This window comes from Homo sapiens, chromosome 12 (assembly GCF_000001405.40).
Source record: "Homo sapiens chromosome 12, GRCh38.p14 Primary Assembly".
NCBI classification, from domain to species: Eukaryota; Metazoa; Chordata; class Mammalia; order Primates; family Hominidae; genus Homo; species Homo sapiens.
The window spans coordinates 101,104,068-101,129,323 of NC_000012.12; the positions used below are offsets into that span (position 1 = coordinate 101,104,068).

The 25,256-nt window shown below is 38.2% G+C and overlaps 1 protein-coding gene across 16 annotated transcripts in view, besides 1 other annotated feature; it reads left to right on the top strand.

Annotated features, from left to right (window-relative positions):
* ANO4 (anoctamin 4) overlaps nucleotides 1–24,574 on the top strand; it is a 411,381-nt gene extending 386,807 nt beyond the window's left edge. For 8 of the 16 annotated variants that reach the window (XM_011537911.3, XM_011537913.3, XM_011537915.3 and 5 more), the window contains 6 exons: nucleotides 6,337–6,489; nucleotides 7,496–7,643; nucleotides 12,612–12,731; nucleotides 16,453–16,558; nucleotides 22,812–23,007; nucleotides 23,794–24,574. In XM_011537911.3, the coding sequence (XP_011536213.2) occupies nucleotides 6,337–6,489; nucleotides 7,496–7,643; nucleotides 12,612–12,731; nucleotides 16,453–16,558; nucleotides 22,812–23,003 (719 nt within the window). In that variant the 3' untranslated portion in view covers nucleotides 23,004–23,007; nucleotides 23,794–24,574. Of the gene's footprint in view, nucleotides 1–6,336; nucleotides 6,490–7,495; nucleotides 7,644–12,611; nucleotides 12,732–16,452; nucleotides 16,559–22,811; nucleotides 23,012–23,793 lie in introns of all 16 variants that reach the window. The other 8 variants (XM_011537912.3, XM_047428302.1, XM_047428308.1 and 5 more) reach the window with 2 other exon arrangements.
* Nucleotides 2,647–2,816: an enhancer, noted in NCBI's record as "experimental_22530 CRE fragment used in MPRA reporter constructs". NCBI's record gives its function as "activates a minimal promoter by MPRAs in K562 erythroleukemia cells, with activity observed for both the introgressed and non-introgressed 12:101500577 variant alleles {active_cell/tissue: K562}" and the evidence as "EXISTENCE:reporter gene assay evidence [ECO:0000049][PMID:34662402]".
* Nucleotides 24,575–25,256: the final 682 nt, after the last annotated feature.

Consider the following 25,256-nt stretch of genomic DNA (forward strand, 5'->3'; position numbering starts at 1 on the left):
GGTGTATAGTGATGCCCTTTCTTTCACTTATAATTTCATAGTTTGTGCTTTTCTCCCTTTTTTAAAACAGTACCTTAGAGGTTTATTAATCTTTTCAAAAGAAAAACTAACTTTGGTCTTTGTTGATTTTTCTCTACTACACATTTGCCTTTTGGTTCATTCATTTCTGCTCTTATCTTTATTTCCCTCCTTTACTTCCTTTGGGCTTAATTTCACTTTTTTTCTCAGCATCTCAAGATGCTGATTTTCAGATTTTCTTTTTTTCTAATATAGGCATTCAGAGCTATAATGTTCTCTATAAATACTGCTTTGGCTGTATCCCACAAGTTTTTATATATTGATTTTATTAGCAAAACATTTTCCATTTCCCTTGTAATTTATTTTCGACTATGCATTTTGAAGGAATGCATTAGTATCAAAACATCTAAAGAGTTTTGATATATTGCTCTGTCATTGATTCTAATTTAATTACACTGTTATCAGAGTATATTCTCTACGTTATTTCAGGCTTTTGATAATATATATATGTGTGTGTGTGTGTGTGTGTGTATGTATGTGTGTATATATATATATATATATATATATATATATATATATATATATAAATAAAAAGATTTACCTTATGCTCCTTTATACCATCTATGTTGATATATGTTTCAAGTATGTTCTGCATTTAGTTGTTTGGTATAATGGTCTACATTTTTATGTCAATTAGGCAAGATTGGTTAATTGTGTTTTTCAAATCTTCTAAGTCCTTGTTAAATATTGTGCCTCTTATCTACTAGTTACATACTTGAAATCCCCAAGTATGATTGTGGATTTGTCTTATTCTATTTTTAGTTCAGTCAACTTTTGCTTTATGTATTTTGAAACTGGGTTATTATGTACATACAAGTTGGATTATTCTGACTTACTGTTGAATTGGTGTTTTTATCATTATGTAAAGTAATTATTGAATAATGCAACACTTTGAGGATATGATGGGCAGGAGGCTGAAGAGCTAACCTTAAAACCTTTCAAAGGGCAGAAGTGAGCCTCTTATTGCCTCTCAGAGCTAAGGAGATAGGGACCCAGCAGTTTCTCAATCACAGCAAAGGAACAAGAACAAATCAAAGGTGGAGTAAGCTTTACAAACACTCTATGCCAGCACTAGCCCAGCTTAATCTGTGACCAGCTTTAAGTGATTTCTCTTATCTGCCTAACATCACCAGGAGGAATTCTTTCTTTATGGTAGAAAAGAACATCACTGAAAGCGGAGTATCACAAATTTGTTCCTAAAGAACTAGATAGTAAATAATTTTGGCTTTTTGAGCCAATGGCAAAATCAAGGCTATTTTGTAGACACTTTTACAGCCATTTAAAATATAGCCATTTAAAATGTAAAAACTATTCTTAGCTCACAGATGGTTAAAAAAGAAAATCAGATGGTTGGTCAAATTTGGCCACAGGCCATAGTTTGCTGACCCTTGATCTAGAGCCTCTACATGTGTGGCATACAATAAAAAGATTACTAGGTATGCAAAAAGGCAAGAAAATGTGACTAATAATCAAGAGGAAAAAGGAGACCCAAAGATGATTCAGAAATTGGGTTTAGCACACAGAGACTTTCAAATAGCTATGATTTACGTATAAAAATAGAAGAAAATACTGACAAAAATGATTGAAAAATTAAGACTTTTGAAAGAGAATTAAAATCTATAAAATAACTCTAGAATTGCAAAATATAAATCTGGAATTAAGAACTCATTTGATATGTTTAATAGCAGATTGAGGCTGGGTACGGTGGCCCACGCCTGTCATCCCAGCACTTTGGGAGGCCAAGGTTGGTGGATCACCTGAGGTCAGGAGTTCGAGACCAACATGGCGAAATCCTGTCTGTACTAAAAATACAAAAATTAGCTTGGTGGTGCGTGCCTGTAATCCTAGCTGCTCTGGAGGCTGATGCAGAGAATCAGTTGAACTGAGGAAGTGGAGGTTGCAGTGAGCTGAGATCATGCCACTGCACTCCAGCCTGGGCGACAAGAGCGAAACTCTGTCTCAAAAAAAAGAAAAAGAAAAATGAGCAGATTGACTTAGCGTAAGACAGTAAATTAGTGAACTTGAAGACAAGTCAATAAAAAGAAAATCCAAACAAGCCCAGAGAAAAGAACAGAAAAACAGAGCAGAAAACATAAGAAACATGCAAAACAGCCAAAAAGGCTGAAATATTTGTAAGAGAAGTCCTAGAAAGAATTAAAGAATGAGAAAAAGTGATATTTGAAGATGTAATGTCTGAGAAAGGGTAAATTAAAAGGAGGTAAACTTATATATTAGAATATAAAACAGTTAAAAGTTGAACTAGGTCTATATAGATCAAGATAATATCTCAAAATTATCATGTGATATGAACAGGGCAAAAAAATTGTAAATAATGATATTATGTAAAGTTTAGGCACAAAAATTATTTACATGATATATGCACTATGTATAATTTATTGATATATGGATATTCATGTGTGTGTGTGTGTATATATATATATATATATATAAATGAACTGGAAGGATGCATGCAAAACTCATGTCAGCAATTGTCTCTATGAAGGGAGAGGAAACCACTCAAGAGCAAAAATAGAGGAGAATTCAGTTTTATCTATATAGTATTTATTTTATTTATAAAAAGATATTAAGCAGGTATGACAAAATGTTACCAAGAGTTAATACTAACTCTTCCATGGGTATATGGAAGTTTGTTATATCATTCTTTATGCTTTCCAATATTTAAAAGTTTTTTCCCAAAGAATTTTTAAAAATTAATCTACCTCTATGCTACAAGTCTCTTCCCTTGAAAAAAAAAAGCAGCAGTTAATGGGCATTAATCACTTCAAGACCAATATCATGTGGGTCACCTTTGTGCTATGTAAAAATGATTGGTTGGTTTGGTTTTAGGCCATAATATTTAACTAGATAATGAAACTCATTAGGTGTCAGATAAACAAAAACTACCAATGAATTAAACACATTTTCTTTTTAAACTTGCAGTTATTTTCATTATAAATATAACCTGAAAGAACTAAACTCTAGTTGCTTTTTCTGTCCATAACATCCATTACTGTTAGTGATTGTAAGAATTATCTCTGTCAGTTTTATTTCTACCTGATAGGTTTTCTTTGTGTTCTGGCCTTCGTTGTAATTACATGTCAGTCATTGAACCAGCATTATTTGGTACCTGACAAGTCCTTCCCATACACAAAACCCCTGTAGTGAGTATGTAGGAAAAAGAAACATAAAGAAGTTGCTGTTTCTACTTTCATGAAGCTCACTGCAAAAGGGGAAAAAGGCAAAACGCCGTAAAATCAAGACAAAGTAAGTTTTATGGTGGTGAGCAGAGTTGTGGCAGCTACAGAGGAGGTAGTAGTTAATTACAATTATGAAAGACTCAAGAGGGTATATTTGAGTACTCTTGAAGGTAGAATGACTACTTCATCAAAGTAGTCATAGCAACACTGCATATATGCTGTATCCCCATAAAATCAGAAGACTAGTGTGGCCAGAGTAGAGGATTGTTTGGGAAACCTGTTTTCTGTGTGGGGTGTATTTGGACATGAGGCTTGGAAGTTTGCTTGGAGTCAATTTATTGAGATCCTTGAATGGCATGGTGAAGTTTCGGATTTATTCTGCAGCCAGTGAGAACCTACTGAAACATTTTGTGTAGGGAGATGAGTGATGGGGTTGAACCAACATTTTAGGCACACTGACAGCAGAATGATAGGGAAGGGAGCTGAAAGTTTGGAGGCAAAAAAGTCAGTTAGAAAATCAGAGTCTGAACTCAAGTGGGGACAGTGGAGAGGAGGGAGAAATGAGAGACATTTTTGAAGAGTAATTGTCAGGACTAGGAGGCTAATGGTTCTGAAGGCTAAGCTAGCAGAGACCTGGTTTTTATGCAAGTTGATTCAGAAGGGAGGAAACGAGAAGGGACATAAAAGGATAAATACGTTCAAGGATGAGGTTCAGAGATTGGTTTGGGGAGTGCTGTTTCTGTAGCATTACAGACAACTGGAAATTCCCTGAAAAGAGTCAGGGTTAGCGATAGAGAATTGAGAACCCTTATCAGAGAGATAATAATGAAGTCATAGGAGTAGATGGACTTACCAAGGAAAGAGAGAAGGCAGGAGAAAAATAAAACCAAGGTTGAAACAGAAGGGAACGCCCACATCTATTTGTGGGTAAAGAGCCACCTAGCACAAGCACTAAGTGTGAATGTGACCAAAGACAGGGGACACCTGGAGGTGGCAGTGTAACCAAGATGAGGTAGATGGACTCTGCAGAACTCTGGAGCTACAACGCTGGGATTAGAGTCCTTTCTTACTTAACTTGTTTTGGGCAAGTTACCTGACCTCTTTGTGCGTCGGTTTCCTTACCTGTAAAATGAGGATAATAGTAGTACCCACCACCTAAGGTTGTCATGAAAATTAAATGAGTTAGTGTATATGAAGTAATTAGAACAATGCCTGTTTTTACATAGAAAATGCTATATATGTGTAGTCATTGTTTTGTTGTTGTTACTTTCTAAAATAAAGTTTGTAAATATATTTTTTACTATTTTTACAGTCATATATGTATATATACATAGTCATTCAAACAGCCAAATACTTTTTGTCCATGATGCCCAGTAAATTTTATTTTTTTATTTTCCATTATGATGACTGGTTGTTTTGCATCAGAAACCACCTCCTTTTGAAAAAATTTTTATTTTGCAAGTTGCAAAAAGAGTAGTTTCTATACCTTACTTTTGCTAATGTTAACATCTTACATATTTATTAAAACAAGAAAAGTTAAGAATACAATGCTATTGTCTAATCCACAGACCTTATTTGAATTTTGCATTTTCCCAGTAATAACTTTTTTCTTGTTCACAATACTTCCAAGATCCAGCATTGCATTTAGATATGTTGTCTCCTTAGTTTCTTTTAATCAATGACAATTCCTCAGTCTGTCTTTGTTTTTCATGATCTTGACATATTTGCAGAGTATTTGTCAGTAGTTTTGGAAAAGCTCCTTCAATTCAGGTTTGTCTCGTGCGTTTGCACAATTGGGTTGGGGTTATTCATTTTTGGCAAGAATACCACTTAAGTGATGTTATACCCTCCTCAGTGCATCATATCGGGGTGTGTAACATCATTATGTCTTGTTACTGGTGATATTTACTTTGATCACTTGGTTAAAATTATGTTTTCGGCTGGGCACGGTGACTCACACTTGTAATCCCAGCATTTTGGGAGGCCAAGGCAGGCGGATCACAAGGTCAGGAGTTTGATACCAGCCTGGTCAACACAGTGAAACTCTGTCTCTACTAAAAATACAAACATTAGCTGGTTGTGATGGCGGGCGCCTGTAATCCCAGCTACTCAGGAGGCTGAGGCAGGAGAATCACTTGAACCCAGGAGGCGGAGGTTGCAGTGAGCCGAGATCGTGCTGCTACACTCCAGCCTGGGGGACAGAGCTAGACTCTGTCTCAAAAAAAAACAAAAAACAAAACAAACAAAAAAGATGTTTTCCAGGTTCCTCTGCTAAAAAGTTTCTGTTTTGTAATTAGTAAAAGTTATGTGAGGAGATACTCTGAGAATCTACAAATATCCTAGTTTCTTCAATACACTTCCCCCTACTAATTTTAGCATTCTTTGATATTTCTTGCCTACAAAAATTATTACTGTGATGTTTGACTAATGGTGATTTTTTAATTTTCATAGTTCCTCCTATGTTGATTAATTAGAATTCTACCATAAGGAAGAGCCACCCCTTATCTCCCATTTATTTATTTAATCACTTATTTACGTAAGTATATATTTACATCAGTCTGGACTTAGATACTTAGTCTTTGGGTCATAATCCCATGCTTTCATTATTAATATTCTTTCATACAAATTGTTCCAGATTTGGCCGTTAGGGGTGCCTTCAAGTTTGTTCTGTGTCCTATTGGCATGTCCCCATCATTTGTTGAGCATTTCCTTCCTTTCTGGCATCACAAGATGTCCCAGGCTTCTCTTGTATTGTCCCTACCGTAGCTCTGGAATCAAACCATCCTCCAAGGAACACTGATTCCTTTGGTTAGAGAATGATATTTAGGAAACAAGATCTGGATCCTAGGTGTGCTCATAGCTCCCAGGATTCCGTTGCTTCCAGGCCCAGGAAGTGCCTCTTTTTCCAGTCTCCTGGCCATCTTTCTGGAAGAGATATCCCCTGTGCGTCTGTATTGGGAAAAATGGGACTTAAGACAATAACATATTCAGATTATGATCCCTTTGAAAATAGTAATGGAAAACCAATACTCTCTGCTCTTTTTCCTTTTTTCTTTTCTAGTTCTTCAGTTTGGATTCACAACTATCTTTGTGGCAGCTTTTCCCCTAGCACCACTTCTGGCCTTACTGAATAACATAATTGAAATTCGACTTGATGCTTACAAATTTGTCACACAGTGGAGGAGACCTTTAGCTTCAAGGGCCAAAGACATAGGTAAGTTGGATTTGGGTATGTTTTTAAAAAACATATTAAACATCTGGTGGATAAAATTTTAAAAGCCACAAACTTTAGATTTTTAATTATGTTTTCCATTTAATATAATTCACCTAATTTTTGCAAAGAATAATTATATTAGTTTTAAATAATATTAGACAAGAAGTAAAGCTACCTATTTGGAAGTTTATAATTTCCAGTGCTAGAGAATTTGTGCTTAAATAGAGTCTCAATTTGATTATTTCTATCTTAAGATTCTAGAATCTAAAATTTAGATTTATTATCACTTATATCCTTTTTAAAATAGATCTTCCATTTGCTTAACCTTGATTTGTTCTTTCCTAAATGTTTGCCTGATTTACATGAAGTATAATCCAGTTTTTCTAACGGCAGAGATGAACTTTGGTCTTTGACTAGAGATGCTAAGTTGAATCAGATGCAGCTCGCATGAGAGCTGCCTGAGATCAAAGACTGTCTTTTATTCATTTCTGCATTCAGTGCTTAGCACAGAGCAGGCAGTCACCCAGCCAATATGTGTGGAAGAGAATTGCATGTGGATGTTATTGTTAATGACGTCTTTTAACCTCCACATGAAACAAGCACACATTCTGTGAGCACCTACCCTGGGTCAGTGTGTTATTGGCAGGGCCCACAAAGATGAACAGAAGGGACCAAATCCATACCCTTAAGGAGCTCCCAGTCTGGTGGGGCTTGACATTATGTGTGCTGATCCTATCAGATGGTATTTTGGTGCCTTATCATTAACCAGAATTCTCTGCCTCATGTCTGATCCTGACTATTAAGTCACAAGCATATAGACACTCCCATAGAAACTCCCTCAATGCCAAGTTGTTTGCACAAATCTTTCCTCCTGGTTGCAACTGTCAGTATTTGGAAAGATGAAGAAAGGACCCATGAAAAGGACTTTTAAAAATTAATTCCATTTTTTCATAATTATCACCTCTGTTTTGTGTATGGAACTAACACAACACTTCTATTTGAATAGGAATTTGGTATGGAATTCTTGAAGGCATTGGAATTCTCTCTGTTATCACAAATGCATTTGTCATAGCGATAACATCTGACTTTATCCCTCGCTTGGTGTATGCTTATAAGTATGGACCTTGTGCAGGCCAAGGAGAAGCTGGGCAAAAGTAAGTTTGCTATAAAACCACTATACAGTTTCTATTTCCTAGCCATTTTTTGAGGTTGGACACTCAGACAGAAGACTGCACTGGAGAATATGGAATACATGCCCAGAAGGAGAGGCCTGTGATAGGGGAGGTGGAATTATGATTTATTATAAATAATAATAATAACACTGTCAGCCAAAGAAAACATGTCCTCATCTACCAAAGAGTTGGAGGACATACAAGTCAGACAGGTTTTAGATGGAATCCAATGTAAGAGTGGCAATTAATCATTTTCCCCACCCCTGACCTCTGCCCACTATGAATTTAGAAATGTGTGATATGCTAATGTGTATACCAAAACAGTAGCATATGATGTATATATAGTTATATCATTTTATGAGTTTGCAAAAGGACAGTTACAATCTGATTTACATTGTGTCATTATGTGTAAACTCTGCAGATCTTACATAGGAAATACGGAACTAGGTACTGAGTACCCAGTAGGTCCTCAATAAGTATTCGTGGAATAAGTAAGTGAATGACTTTTTCATGGGTATTGACCTGACCAATGCCTATATTACCCCAAGCAAGCTGAGTGGACTAAACTCCTTGGGAGGATCAATTCTATGGCATTGCCTCAATGGTTTGCAAAGCCAGGGCACGCTATATATGGTCAGATAAAGATAAGTCAAAATTATAACATCCCCTAGTTTCATTCCTGTACCTTGGAGAAAGGGCAAGAAGTCTTAACATGCTTTAAAAATCCCTGTTTGGTTAAAGCCAAAATAGTTAAACTCTTATTATGGGATTTTGATGTCTATAGGTCAGAGTGAGGTGTGTTTGGGGATCACAGGGTCTTCTTAATAACCCAGAAATCACCCTACATGGGCTGCTGTCTACTTATACAAGCAGCCCTGGTTTACTAGCCTGAGCCAGATTGATTCATCCTCTACAGCCATTGTAGCTGATCGACCCCAAGGAGTTAAGTGCCACCAAAGCAAATCAACTGAACTCATGCAAACCTGGCCTGGGTCCAATTCATTATGAATCCTACATAAATGGGCTAAGGTGTGGATGATTGAGGAATGTCATAAAGCTCACAATCCAGTTATTTGAAAAGGCTTCTGTAAAGTTCTTGACTACTATAAGCATGTGGCCATGACACACTAATTATCTAGCAACTTTTAGTGAGCATACCATCCCATTTTAAGAGAAATGTAAAGACATGTTATTTTGCCCAGGCATTTCTTTCTAATTGCAACTATCGTTGACATTCTCTGCTTGGCTTAGCCTGAAAAAGCTTACTTTCACTCAAACCACTTTCACATGTGTTTTTAGTTGATTCTCAAAACAGCCCTGGGAGTGGGATGTGCATTATAATCTTCACTTTGAGGAGCAGGAAGAGATTAAAAGAGGTTAAGTCCAGAATCACAAGGCATAGTAACTCTGGGAGCCCATGTGAAGGTGGAGCCTCGACTCACTCTCCATCCCGCACCTCACAGCCCTTGAGGCTGTCCCTTAACAGTAAACCCCCTGGATTTTCCGTCGTAATGGTGTTTCAGTTCTTTCCCAAATTCAAATATGGTGAAATCTATCTTGTTTTAGGGGGAACCAAAAACAAAATGGGAACCTTTATGCACAATTGATAGTGAATCAAAGATTTAGAATTTTAACAACCTGGTAGATTTAAGACAATGTCCACAGTGATTAAAGTGTATCTCATAGCCTCCTTGTATCAATTTTACTGGGCTCTTTGGAGCTTTTCTTTTCTTTCTTTCTTTTTTAACCTTTCTCTTTGACTTAGGAGCCTTCTGCCACTTTCAATTTATGGATCTGCCTTTTGTTTTCTAATCCATTAGTCATTTTTCATGTTTTCAAGTAGTTAAATTTATGTATGTTTCTTCATGAATCTTATTTTCTGCCTCACTGGCCACTCTATTACTTTTCAGATTTTTTTTATTTTTCCAATTTAGAAATGCTTTAGAAATTATTGAACTCATAAGAGTAGCAGAATTGTCAAGGTATAGAAAGTCATAAGCCTTTAGGGTAGTACAGTGATTGCTGGCTCATCCCTTTCTTATGTATTAAAGGATTGAAAATTATAAGTGGTGAGTGGCTTTCACGGTAGAATTCTCACATTTAAATGAGTGTGTGGTCTTCTCAGAAGTTACATGGAAGAGATATGCATCCTAATCCAAATGGCACTACCCTGTAGAAGACATTTTCTAGATCTTTCTTGGAAGTGCCTACAGAGGCCATCTACCATTCCTTTAAGAAAACTGACTTTATATTCACAGGAAACCCTTCGTCTGTTACTTTTTTCTTGGTACTTCTCAATTCTCCCTGATCATCAGTGTAGCCTCATCTCCCTCTGTCTCATTGAGAGCTGGTGGTGGGTCACAGTGAGGGTATATAGCATTCCTGCCAGTAAACCCAGTGATAGACATGGGCTCTCTACTACCTGTGACCTTCCTGCTATAACAATGGGTCAGTGAGTTGACACTTGCATGCCACTAGCTGAATTTTATACAGCAAAATGTGATAAATCTCACTTGCCTGAATTGATGACAACTTTCACTATTTGATATTGACAATAGCTAACAGTCTACAAAAGGTGAAAGGAATTAGTGAAACGTCTAGCTGTCCGTGCATCTTTTCCCCCATTATGGAAATGATATGGAAGGAAGATGTACACAGCTGATAACTGTGTGTTCCTGTACTAGGTACACATTTAATGCTTTGCACTCAGGAGTAACCACCCTCTAAAGACACATTTTCAACTTGGATTTATGACTGTCATTCATGCATTAGGTCCATGAAACAGGTGTTTTATTTAAATTTAAATTTTCTTAATGGAGTTTTTGAGCAGAACAACCAATGGACAGTAGCGTTAGTCTTGATAAAGCCTCGGGGCTGGTCTGTGAGATAAGAGTGCAGGAGGGGTTATGAATATTCCATTTCAGTGCTGGGCCTTTTTTTTTCACCAGTTCCCAGAACACCTTTCCCTTCCCACAGCTCAGATCTCTAGAAAGACTCTGCTAAAACTTACTCCCTCTCTGTGACAGCTAATCATCCTCAAGGCACTAATTTATTTTCATGTCCAGGTCTAGACAGTTCCTAGGTAAGGGAGACATCATTCCAAATTACCCTTTCAGTAGGGGAGTCCTGCTGCCAGTTGGATTAAGGCATGTTACACACTCCCTGACCATTTGTTTTCACCCACGAGTGACTTGACAAATGGGTCCTTCAGCTTGGTTCATTTTTTTTAAGGCCATGATAAAGCCAGTGATTTGTCTTGAGCACGATAACATGCAGAACCCATGTGTTCTCAGAACTGTGTTCATGTCATCATTTTGGTTTAGTGTTCAGCAGCTTGGAATAATCATGCCAGACTTGTTAATGAAGAGAATCTGAAGATCATGATTTATTCATTCAATCAGTAATTACTTATTGACCCCCTGCTAGATGCAAGAAATAAATAAAATGAATAATCACCACTCATGTTTATCTTACTTATAGGCTAAGATCTTATCACATGCTATACATTCATTGTTTAATATAATCCCCTCAAGGACCCTATGAGGTGGGAACTTCTGTCACTTTAAGAAGTTACGTAAATCGGGTGTGGTGACACATGCCTGTAGTCCCAGCTATTCAGGAGTCTGAGGTGGGAGGATCGTTTGAGCCTGGGAGGTCAAAGCTGCAGTGAGCCATGATCATACCACTGCACTCCAGCAATGAGCAACAGAGCAAGGCCCTGTCTCAGAAAAAAAAAGAAGAAGTAAGAAGTTATATAACGTGCCAATATTACATGACTAGAAACCAGCAGAACTAAGATTTGACCCCAAAACCCAAGCTTTTGTATGTAAAACACTATTTAAAGAAAAATGTATACAGGATGTATCTAAGTGCTAATTTCACCCAAAGTTTCAAACATTGTTATTTCAGTAAGTGCATGTGTTAACCACAATGTTCAATATGTAAAACTGTTTAGAGACTTGGAGAAAAGATGTTTCTAAGAGTGCTACTTGCTATGATACTTTTAAAATGGGCTTTTTCTTGAATGGAATTATTGACAGAATGATTAAATCTTGATTTTATCTACCCATTCAATCTAGAATGATCAATAGAATCTCATACTTTAGTTTCCTCCAATCAGATCGATTCAATATTTATGGGATTCCTACACTGCACAAGACTGTCCTAAGTCATAGGATACACAAATACCTAAGATACCTGCTCTGCTCCCAAAAAATTGCAGTCCAAAGGAGAGGGCATACATATATGCTGCCAACTCTAGTACAAGCGATCTGGTAATGGTGAACTAAGTAAGTATGGTGGCACTACAGAGAGAGGGAAAGGAGTGAGATGTTGTGACTGGAGTGATTAGGTTGTCTTCCTAGTAGGAGTGGTGTTTCAGTTGGCCGCTGAAGGATAAATACTATTTCCACTTGTAAAGGAAGAGGTAGGGAATTCTAACAGAAAAGATAACAAGCAGAGGCATGAAAACATCAGAAGCTTTCAGGGAATATAGTCTAACAGGACTGTAGCATGGGATATGAGTTGGGGGGATCATATGCACACCAATCATATTTGGAACATTTTGAGAATATCTATAAATATATATGAAACCATTAATGAGGAACTGTGTTTATGTGTATCATCAACAAAAGAAGCTGTGGCTTACATACAATTTATGCCCATCATGTAATGCTGCTTTTTACCTATTTCACTGAAACATTAATTGGGGTAGAGATGTTCTATATGATGATTCTGCAGAAAAAGGATGAGAACCAAAACAAGCAACTTGTTCCTGATTCAACATGCCCAGGGCTTTCCAGCGTATCCCAACCTGAGTCCTGGTTGACAAGGAAGGGCCAGTTAAAGGCATTTACAATTGCAGTGACGTCTGGGAAGCAGGGTCTTCAGGGAACTGGATACAGAGAAGGTGATGAGTGTTCTAATGGTAGAATGTGCCTCCTCTTATAGGTGCATGGTTGGCTATGTGAATGCCAGCTTGTCTGTATTTCGAATTTCTGACTTTGAGAACCGATCTGAGCCTGAATCTGATGGCAGTGAGTTCTCGGGGACTCCTCTTAAGTACTGCAGGTGAGTGTGGCACCCAGCGTGGCTCTGCCTGAGCTGGGCTGGCTCCACCGTGGGGAGGTTTTACTCTGAAGGCCCCTTCTGGCTGAGTGTGTTTAAAGCAGTGACTGTCAATCTCAACAGTGCATTAAAAGCACATGAAGAATTTTCAAGCCTTCTCTTGCCCGGGATACAACCCAAACCAATTAAAACAGAATGTCAGGGAGTGGAACTCAGAAACCAGGTGCAGTCAGAATTGAGAACTGCTAGCTTAAAGGGAAAAACTAAAAATATAGTAGTGAAGGTTATACCGCTGCTCCAGGGACTCAGGGACAGACAATCCCCAGGCGGGTTGAGCGACAGCTGTTGAGGGCACTTGTCTTTGTTCTGCTTCTCTCTCTTGCCCAGAGTATATCACATCACATTTCTAAATGTTAAACAACTCAGAAGCCTGTGGAAAGAGGCCCAGTTCATTTCAGGTTCCACCACAGTAGCCTCTGCAACATGTGCTCATTCTCTCTTTCTTTCTCTCCCTCTAAAAGGAAATGAATTAAACTGTGCCTCTTGATGTGTATCTATACAAACGTACATGAAGGAGAATTTGTTGAGCACCTACTCTGTGCCAGAAACTGTTACTCCATTTAATCGTCACATCAGCCTTCTAAGTTAGGCAATATTATCTCATCTGACAAATGATAAAACCATTCACTAAAAGCTCAATGAGATTACTTGTGCACAGTTCTTGAAGAGTCCAGATGGCACCTTTTTCTCTTAATACTTTGACGTTATAAGAATTTTGTGGGCTCACACCTGTAATCCCAGCACTTGAGGAGGCCAAGTTGGGAGGATCACTTAAGTCCAGGCAGTCAAGGCTGCAGTGAGCTATGATAGCACCACTGCATTCAAACTATGGAGCAAGACCTTGTCTCAAAAACAAAACAAAGAATTTTGGAGATTCCCTATCATGACATTCTATGTTCTCCCTGTAATCAAAGCCACAAGGAAGAACAGCCATGGAGTCCTAGATGCTTTGACATAGGGACTTTTGTAATGATCCACTTCAGTCCCTCATCTTACAGAAGGTGAAGGTGAGAGAAGCCAGGGGCTCCCCATTTCTGTGCAGTGACAGCATACCCTCCACCCCTTTAAACACTCATGCCAAGTTCCCAGGTCTCATTGGCTGTCACATCTCATCAGATGGCTTATTTCCTTTCCCACATGGAGTAACAAGTAAGATGGGGAGAAAGACTGGCTGGAATATAATCTAGTGCCGCTCTCTGTTGGGGTCTAGTGGAGAAGCAAGCAATTAAGCAACAATTGATACTTTCTTCAGTAGATTTCCCACTTGCTTGTCCAGACCATTTCGTACATGAAATTATTTAGCAAGCATTGTTAGACATATACAGGATCCTAAGTATGAAATGCTTCAAAATAAAATGCCAACTATTATTTGGAGTTAAAAACTTTGTAATCATTTGAAAATAAGATAAAAATACAGAGTCTTTCTCCTCTTCTGCTTCCTGGCTCATAATTCTTCCTGCCTGTCTCACATAGTATCATAAAAGTATATTCCAGAAATTATTAATGTGAATGGAGGTATTAATGCTGGCACCATTAAGTTAAATTATGATTGTTTTGTTTAGCATTTTTCTTAAAAGTCCCCCAAAGAAAACATTTTAAAATTTCTAATTAAAATCATGTAAAATAATATTTTCAGGTTTGTTTTCAGTCATATAGCAGGTGAGGCACCCAGATCAGCTTGCGGGCTGAAAATATCTAAACATGTAGAGAAAAATTTAAAAACACCTTCTCAAATACATTAATGACCTGGGAAGAATATTTGGTATTCTAAGGCAGAAAGAAGTGGTACACAGAGCATTGCAGCCAACTTTTACCCAAAGGGAATTTGCTGAAGTGAGTGGACTGGAGCTTTCTTTTTATTTATTTATTTATCTTTTTATACTTTAAGTTCTAGAGTACATGTGCACAGCATGCAGGTTTGTTACATATGTATACATGTGCCATGTTGGTGTGCTGCACCCATTAACTCATCATTTACATTAGGTATATCTCCTAATGCTATCCCTCCCCCCTCCCCCCACCCCACGACAGGCCCCGGTGTGTGATGTTCCCCTTCCTGTGTCCAAGTGTTCTCATTGTTCAGTTCCCACCTATGAATGAGAACATGCGGTGTTTGGTTTTTTGTCCTTGAGATAGTTTGCTGAGAATGATGGTTTCCAGCTTCATCCATGTCCCTACAAAGGACATGAACTCATCCTTTTTTATGGCTGCATAGTATTCCATGGTGTATCTGTGCCACATTTTCTTAATCCAGTCTATCATTGATGGAGCTTTCTTTTTCAAAGCTTTCCATGGTTAGGGAAAGTGAAAGAAAATATAGAGGCCAGGTGCAGTGGCTCACCCTGTAATCCCAGCACTTTGGGAGGCTGAGGTGAGTAGATAGCTTAAGGTCAAGAGTTTGAGACCAGCCTGGGCAACATGGTAAAACCCTGTCTCTACCAAAAATACAAAAAAATTAGCCAGGCATTTTTGTGCACACCTGTAGTCCCAGCTACTTGGGAGGTAGGAGTATCACTTGAGTCTGGGAGGCAGAGATTGCAGTGAGCCAAGATCGCACCACTGCACTCCAGCCTGGGTGACAGAGCGAGATTCTGTCTCAACATAAAAGAAAAGAAAATATAGGAATGACCAGCCTGTAAGTGTATACTTATATGCTATATAAAACAACCATAATATAGTCACACTAGAGTCTATTATACAGCAATAAAAATAAACCACATGCAATAATGTGAATGAATCTTAGTGACATAATAGTAAAAAAAGCAAGCCCCAGCAAACTACATATAGTATAGTACCCTTTCTATAAAGTTCAAAAACAAACTAAATAGTACAATATTCAGACAAATGCATATACATATAAGTTAAAAATAAAAATGAAATTCAGGGTAAGGGAAGCAATTGATGTAAGTTCCTGGTAATGTTTTAGTTCTTGGGCTTCATAGTGGATTTATGAGAGCTTGTTGTATTATTAAAGTATTACTTTAATGGAGTCACATGGATTAAAGTTCTCTGAATAGTGCCTGGTCCCCAACAGGTATTCGGCAAACATTTGTGGCATTTTATGCCGACTCAAAAGTGATAGCTGGAGGATACATTAGGAAGGACTCTTCTAGTGGCAAGTGGCAGAAATCCAGGGTAAACTGACTTAAACAACAAAAAATTGTTCAGTTAGCTGGGAGAGTCAAGGGGTGATATGAGCTTCAGTAATGGCCGGATCCCAGGCCTCAAGCAGTGTCAGCAGGATGCTGCCTCTCTGCTGTCTCTGCTTTGTTTTCTTGACTTCCTTCTCAAGCAGGCTCTCTCTCTCCATACAAGGCCACCAGGAGTCCCAGGCTTTTGCCTTCTGTGGGCTTAGTGATCATTCACTAAGTGATAGTTCTGGCAGACATCTTGATGATGTCACTGATCAGGTCTGGCTCATCTTTTGAGCTGAGATCAGGCAGGTGGAGGGGGAAGTCCTAGTCAACCCACACAGATGATTCCCCAGAGAAGAGATATTATTTTATCAGAAGAAAAATGCTGGACAAGCAAAACAACAGATATCTAGTATAGAGAAACTTCAAATTTCCCTCCTATTGAATGAGGACTATATAATGAGAATGGAAGAGATTTGAGAATCAGAAAAATCATAGTTTGAATGCAACATTTTTCTGTGTCTTTATAGATACCGGGACTACCGTGACCCGCCTCATTCACTGGTGCCCTATGGCTACACACTGCAGTTTTGGCATGTCCTAGCTGCTCGATTAGCTTTTATCATTGTCTTTGAGGTAAGTTTCCTCAGCCAAATTCTTTATTTCCTTTGACATAATGAAGTCAGTAGGAGTAATGAATAAAAATAAGTGATGGGGATTTTGAATGTGATTATCTATATTTCCAGAAGTAGTAGTGTCATATTATGTAACCTCTTTTTGATCTTTTTTCTTAATTGAAGTATTTGATTTTTCCAAGACATATTTGAAAGTCCATAGTTGGTTTTTAATGGACAAATCTGAACTCGTTGCTCCTAAATGTAATTTTCTGGGGCCATAGTTCTTAAACTTTAGCAAAAATGCAGTTTTTCCATCCTCACTCCCAGATATTCTGACATACCATGTCTGTGGCTTGTTTTTCATGAGCTCGTTGTAATGATTCTGACTATAGGCATTCTGGGACCATAATTTGGAAACATTTGGAAAACATCAGCCCAGTAAGATTCATTCTTTTTTTCTTTTTCTTTTTCAACTTTTATTTTAGATACAGTGGGTACATGTGCAAGTTTGTTACAAAGTTACATTGCATGATGTTGAGGTTTGGGGTGCGACTGAACCCACCACCCAGGTAGCGAGCATAGTATTCAATAGGTAGTTATTCAGCCCTTGTCCCCTCCCCCTCTCCCCTCTATAGTAGTCCCCAGTGTCTGTTGTTCTCATCTTTATGTCCATGTGTACCCAGTGTTTAGCTTCCACTCTAAGTACGTACAATAAGAACTTGCAGTGTTTAGTTTTCAGTTTCTACATTATTTCACTTAAGATAATGGCCTCCAGCTACATCCATGTTGCTGCAAAGGACATGGTTTCATTCTTTTTTATGGCCACATAGTATTCCATGGTGTATACATACCACATTTTCTCTATCTGGTCCACCATTGATGGGCACCCAGGTTGATTCCATGTCTTTGCTATTGTGAATAGTCCTGTGATTGACATATGAGTACATGTGTCTTTTTGGTAGAATGCTTTATTTTCTTTTGAGTATATACCCAGAAATGGGATTGCTGGGTTGAATGGTAGTTAAGCCCTTTGTTCTTTGAGAAATCTCCAGACTACACAGTAGTTGGACTAATTTACCTTTCCACCAACAGTGTGCAGGTGTCCCCTTTTCTCTGAAGCCTCGCCAGCATCTGTTAATTTGTTTACTTTTTTTTTTTTTTTTTTTTTTTTTTTAAGACTGATTCTCTCTCTGTCGCCCAGGCTGGAGTGCAATGGCACAATCTCGGCTCACTGCAACCTCTGCCTCCCAGGTTCAAGTAATTCTCTGCCTCAGCCTCCTGAGTAGGTGGGATTACAGGCACCCGCTACCACACCTGGCTAATTTTTGTATTTTTAGTGGAGACGGGGTTTCACTGTCTTGGCCAGGCTGGTCTTAACCTGACCTCATGATCCATCCGCCTTGGCCTCCCAAAGTGCTGGGATTACAGGCGTGAGCCACTGCACTTGGCCTGACTTTCTAATAAAAGCCGTACTGACTGGTGTGAGATGGTGTCTCATTGTGGTTTTGATTTGCATTTCTCTAATTTCCTTAGAGATTCTGAGCATTTTTTCATATTATTGTTGTCTGCTTCTATATCTTCTTTTGAGAAGTATCTGTTTGTGTCCTTTGACCACTTTTTAATGGGGTTATTTGTTTTTTACATGTTGATTTGTTTAAGTTCCTTACAGATTCTGGGTATTAGACCTTTATTGGGTGCATAGTTTGCAAATATTTTCTCCCATTCTGTACGGTGTCTGTTTACTTCTTTGACAGTTTCTCTTGCTGTGCAGAAGCTCTTTAATTAGATTTGACTTAGCAATTTTTGTTTTTGTTGCAATTGCTTTTCAGGACTTCACCATAAATTCTTTGCCCAGGCCAGTATTGAGAAGGGTATTTCCTAGGTTTTCTTCTAGCATTTTTATAGTTGAGGTCTTACATGTAAGTCTTTAATTCATCTTGAGTTAAATTTTGTTTATGATGATAGGTAGAAGTCCAGTTTCATTCTTCTGCATATGGATAGCCAGTTATCTCAGCACCATTTATTGAACAAGGAATCCTTCCCCCACTGCTTGTTTTTGTCAAGTTGGAGATTCACTCTTTCTAAATGTCTCCAATTATTGCCATCATCATTACCACACATATTGAAATATACTGATTCATATAGTTAATTTATGATTTTCAAATAGTTATCAGGATTTCCCAACATGATCATAAGCATTTTCCAATAGGACTGGGTATTACAAGTGGTATTTCTGGTTGTGTATCATCACGGAATTATTTATATTCAAGCATCCAAGTAAGTATTTATTAGCTAAGACTCAAAATGGAATTATAAAGTAAAATCTGTCTAGCAATTGTCTATATTATATGTCAATAAAAATATATTATCTATTTTCTTTCAGGGTTTAAGAAAATTGCTGTAAAAATAGTTTGCATTTCTATGACTCTAGTCATAAGTGGAAATTTCATCTCTTGTCACATATATTAAAGCCAGATTAATAAAAGCCAAGGTTGCCTCTCGGCTTGGATCTAAAGTTTCCTAGACCTCTTCAAGACTATTCTATCACTGCTTTTTCCTTCAGTCCAGGGAACCAAAAGAAGAAAATATTAAGCTGCTCTTCCCTGGAAATTATCTTACCAATGGCACACTCTCTCTTTAAAGAAGATATTTTTAACCCATCACTGTCTTAAAATTTTTCAGACAAAACTTCTTGTTGTTTGTTTGGGATTTTTTTATTTTAAGTTCCAGGGTACATGTGCAGGACATACAGGTTTGTTACACAGGTAAATGTGTGCCACGGTCATCTGCTGCACAGATCAACCCGTCACCCAGGTATTAAGCTCAGCATCCCTTAGCTATTCTTTCTGATGCTCTCCCTTCCCCCACCCCCACCCCCAACAGGCCCCTTTGTGTGTTGTTTCCCACCATGTGTCCATGTGTTCTCATCATTCAGCTCCCACTTATAAGTGAGAACATGTGGTATTTGGTTTTCTGTTCCTTTGTCAGTTTGCTGAGGATAACAGCTTCCAGTTCTGTCCATGTCCCTGCAAAGGACATTATCTCATCCCTTTTTATGGTTGCATAGTATTTCATGGTGTATATGTACCACATTTTTTTATCCAGCCTATCATTGATGGGCATTTGGGTTGATTCTATGCCTTTGCTATTGTGAATAGTGCTGCAATGAACATATGCATGCATGTATGTTTATAATAGAATGATTTATATTCCTTTCTAATAAGCGCCATACTGACTGGTATGAGATAATATTTCATTGTGGTTTTGATTTGCATTTCTCTAATCTCCTTAGAGATTCTGAGCATCTTTTCATATTATTTTTGGCTGCTTGTATATCTTCTTTTGAGAGGTATCTGTTTGTGTCCTTTGCCATACAAGTTATAGAATTGCTGGGTAAAATGGTATTTCTGCTTGTAAATCACTGAGGAATTGCCACACTGTCTTCCACAATGGTTGAACTAATTTATACTCCCACCAACAGTGTAAAAGTGTTCCTTTTTCTCTGAAACCTTGCCAGCATCTGTTGTTTCTGGACTTTTAAATAATCAACATTCTGACTGGTGTAAGATGGTATCTCATTGTGATTTTTATTTGCAGTTCTTTAATTATCAATAATGTTGAGCTTTTTTTCATATGTTTGTTGGCTGCATGAATGTCTTCTTTTGAAGAATGTCTGTTTATGTCTTTTGCCCACTTTTTAATGGGGTTGCTTGGTATTTTTTTTGTAGATGTGTTTAAGTTCCTTGTAGACTCTGGATATCAGACCTTTGTTAGATGGATAGATTACAAAAATGTTCTCCCATTCTATAGGTTACTGTTTGCTCTGATGATAGTTTTTTTGTGCTGTGCAGAAGTACTTTCATTTAATTAGATCCCATTTGTCAATTTTTTCTTTTGTTGCAATTGCTTTTGGTGTTTTCATCATGAAATTTTTGCCCATGCCTACATCCTGAATGGCATTGCCTAGATTTTCTTCTAGGATTTTTATAGTTTGGGGCTTTACATTTAAGTCTTTAATCCATCTTGAGTTAATTTTTATATAAGGTGTAAGGAAGGGGTTCAGTTTCGATTTTCTGCATATGGCTAGCCAGTTCTCCCAAAACCATTTATTAAGTAGGGAATCCTTTCCCCCATTGCTTGTTTTTGTCAGGTTTTTCAAAGATCAGATGGTTGTAGATGTGTGGTCTTATATCTGAGATCTCTAATCTGTTCCATTGGTCTATGTGTCTGTTTTTGTACTAGTACCATGCTGTTTTGGTTACTGTAGCCTTTTAGTATAATTTGAAGTTGGGTAGTGTGATGCTTCCAGCTTTGTTCTTTTTGCTTAGTCTTGTCTTGGCTATTTGGACTCTTTTTTGGTTCCACATGAATTTTAAAAGAGTTTCTTCTAATTCTGTGAAGAGTGTCAATGGTAGTTTAATGGGAATAGCATTGAATCTATAAATTACTTTGGGCAGATGGCCGTTTTCACAATATTGATTCTTTCTATCCATGAGCATGGAACATTTTTCCATCTGCTTGTGTCCTTTCTGATTTCCTTGAGCAGTGGTCTGTAGTTCTTGAAGAAGTCATTCACTTTTCTTGTTAGCTGTATTCCTAGGTATTTTATTCTTTTGCAGCAGTTGTGAATGGGAGTTCATCCATGATTTGGCTTTCTGCTTGCCTGTTGTTAGTGGTTAGGAATACTAATGATTTTTGCACATTGATTTTGTATCCTGAGACTCTGCTGAAGTTGCTTATCAGCTTAAGAAGCTTTTGGGCCAAGATGATGGGATTTTCTAGACACGGGATCAGGTCATCTGCAAAAAAAAGATAATTTGACTTCCTCTCTTCCTATTTGAATACCCTTTATTTATTTCTCTTGCCTGACTGCCTGGGCCAGAACTTCCAATACTGCGTTGAAAAGGAGTGGTAAGAGAGGGCATCCTTGTCTTGTGCCGGTTTTTAAGGGGAATGCTTATTGAGAATTTTTAACATGAAGGGATGTTGGATTGTTATCAAAGACCTTTTCTGCAGCTATTGAGATAATCATGTGGTTTTTGTCTTTAGTTCTGCTTATGTGATGAATTACTTATGCTTATGTGATGTTTACTGATTTGCATATGTTGAACCAACTTTTTATCCCAGGGATGAAGCCAACTTGATCATGGTAGATAAGCTTTTTGATGTGCTGCTGGATTTGGTTTGCCAGTATTGTATTGAGGCTTTTTGCATCAATGTTCATCGGGGATATTGGCCTGAAGTTTTTTTGTTGTCTCTCTGCCAGGTTTTGGTATCAGGATGACACTGGCCTCATAAATGAGTTAAGGAGGAGTCCCTCCTTTTTAATTTTTTGGAATAGTTTCCATAGAAATGGTATCAGCTCTTCATTGTACCTCTGGTAGAATTCTGCTGTAAATCTGTCAGACAAAACTTTTTAAAAGGCTGCCTTATTTGGCTTTTCAAATAGAATTTTCCATTTTCTTTTAATATTTTGTTATTAACTATTTGAAAATATGAGAACTATGCAGAAAAGCTTCTTAATTTTGTGCCATCCATGCATCACCAAATTTATCAAGTTTTAAATAAAACGAAGAATACTTAGCAGTATCATTTGAACATGATTTAGTCTCTATTTAATACTTTAGAATTGTAATAGCCCTTAAATTGTCATCTAGTACTTCCTTGGTCACCATTATATAGATGAGCAGAAGTGACAGTGACTCTAGAATTCCAGCTATTAGTATTTCAAGTAAAGAATTTGTGACTGTTTACCAAAAAGAAAAAAGCTTCTTCCTGAAATGATCATTTCCCTAGGCCCACTGATAATTCTTATAACCAAGATTTGTAAAGCACTTGACAGTCTACAAGGCATTTTTAAACATTTTCTCATAATTCTCACAATACTCACTTTATAGATGAGGGGAATGAGGCTCAGATAAATTAAATAATTCATCCTCAGGTAGACAGACAGCCCTTAAGCAGTGAAAGCTACCAGCTTCAACCTGGGTTTTCTGACTCCACAGAATACATTCTTCTGGCTCTCCTTTGAATTAATTATCTGACCATTCTTTTCCCACCTTCCTTCCAGACTCCTCTTTCTATTCCTTAGGTGGTGCCATCAGACCAGTTCAGGCCTCACCTGTCCTATCATCTTGCATTACACACGCCTCCCCTGGTCACTTTGCACTCTCCACATACCCCAGAGGGTCCACATCCTTCTTCAGCCAACTCTCTAACCTCATTCAGGATGCACAGTAGACCTGACGCTGTTACATTCTCCTCTGTTTTAGCACCTCGTGTTTTGTATAAAGCACCTCATTTCATATCTGATCCCAGACCTCCCAAAAGACCTAAGGGATCGAATGAGAAGAGAGAAGTACTTGATTCAGGAGATGATGTATGAAGCAGAACTGGAACGTCTCCAGAAGGAACGAAAGGAGAGGAAGAAGAATGGAAAAGCACACCACAACGAGTGGCCGTGACCATGTAGGTGAGAGGTGTGCTCAGCGTCTGAGGCCATTCCGAGGTTGAATGGGTGCTTTAAACTCCCTGAAGCAAAGCTTACCATTGTTGCAGTAACAGGGATCAAAATAAACTCCTTAGAAGCTTCCCAATCCAAAAGAAGCTTGTTTTTTACTTTAATCGTTGCAAATTTTGCTTGATCTTCCCCTCCCACATACCTTCTGCAACACTTCTCTGCCTTCTTGCCAGACTCTGGCCTATCAGTCAAGGTCTTCATGAATTGGCCTAGGAGTTCCCTGAAACAAAGCGTCCTCTCTCTTTTCCTCCAGCCGGGCTGTTTTCTTTAATATCCCCAGGGAAACATGCCCCTTCTTTCTAGGTGGGTGGGAGGCAGACATTAGCAAAGAGAATTCTTCCTGAAAGCCTCAGCGGCCAGAGACCAAGGTGCAACAGGGCTGTCCTGGGCTGCAGGACCAGTAACTGATGAAGAATTTCTTCTGGCCCCACCACTACTGGCTGCTTTCTTCCCAAAAAGGCCATTTCTAATTTTTGCTTGAAAGCATAGTATCTGCCTGCCTGTTTCTATTTCCCCAATAGTTGGCAGGATGTGATGTTGCTTTAGACTGCCCTTCTGACTCAGTCTGTTCACCCATAAAGCAAGCATAAAAATGTTTATACCATCCCTGACTCCATTTGGGGTTACAAATTCTTTGAATGCCTTTGGTGCATGGTAAGTACAAACTATTGCACCTCATGTTTTAAAGCAATTGTGTATGCATAAGATCTTTATGCCTTCTTTTCTCTTTCCAGAAAATAGTCCCTTTCCAGGCCAAGGACCTGAATTCTGTTTACTTCTTCTGGCTGTGCAAAAGCACACTCAAGTGAATGACTAAAAATGCAACCACAGTGCATGTTGCAGATACCGGCGGCCGCAGGAGGGGCAGCATCCAGTAGAGGACTGGCGTTGGAGTCACACTGCTGTGAAATCACGTTGCAGTCCAGCGCACAATTGCTATCTATCCATAGACCATTCTTGACCAAGCAAGCATGCACATTATGGGCAGTTACATTCTCAAGTTTTTAAAATCAAGGGGAACTTGTATACTGGGCCTGTTTTTCAGCCTGTTTGCTACCTTTTTTGCATTCTATCCCATGTGAATTTTACAGACACTGGGCTAAAAAGGGTATTCAGACACATGGACACACATTCCTAGAATGTCATCATATGGTCCTAATTCCATGTCACCAACAACACAGACAAGACCCTGTTTACAACTTTTTCTTTCCTTTTTTTTAATTTTAGACCTTTCTGAGAAGATTATTATATATGACATATCTATAGCTATGTGTATGGCCATAGATGTATTTCTGTGTGTACATATGTATAGTCATGTATTCCTGCATATGTACATACAAATACAGAGATATATAAAGTACATAGAAATTCCTTACTTGTAAATAGCCAAAAAGTACTGACATGAGTGAATTTTCACATTTAAATAGTCATCAATATGAAGCCATGATTAATGCTTGTATAATGTGATGCAATAAAATTTAAAATAAATTTCTGCACATGGAATATTTTCAGCTGGCTCTTCTGACATTCTGTTGTATTTTTGTCTCATAGAATAAGAGAAATCACAGAATAAGTAAGTGGAATCTTTAATGTGAGGAGAATATCTGAGGGACTGTGCAAGAAATCAGATGTTTGTTTATTGCATAAATGCATGCAAAAACAAACAATATAGCCAAATATCAGCGTATGTTTCTGATGAACTTTTTTCCCCAGTCTTGATGGTGGAATATTTTAAATATAAGCCAAAATGAATATGCCGTAATTTGAGGATTTGATAATCTACCCAATTTTATAAGTCCTCATAAGACTAGAATATTAGAAATATCCTACTTCAACACTATAATCTTCATTAAAACCTCAGTTGTCTGCAATTAACAATTGCAAAAATACAGAACCAACCTAAGTGCCCATCAACCAAGGAGTGGATAAAGAAAATGTAGTATATAGCCGGGCACGGTGGCTCACGCCTATAATTCCAGCACTTTGGGAGGCCGAGGCGGGTGGATCACGAAGTCAGGAGATTGAGACGATCCTGGCTAACACGGTGAAACCCTGTCTCTACTAAAAATACAAAAAAATTAGCTGGGCGTGGTGGTGGGTGCCTGTAGTCCCAGCTACTAGGGAGGCTGAGTCAGGAGAATGGCATGAACCCGGGTGGTGGAGCTTGCAGTGAGCGGAGATCGCGCTGCTGCACTCC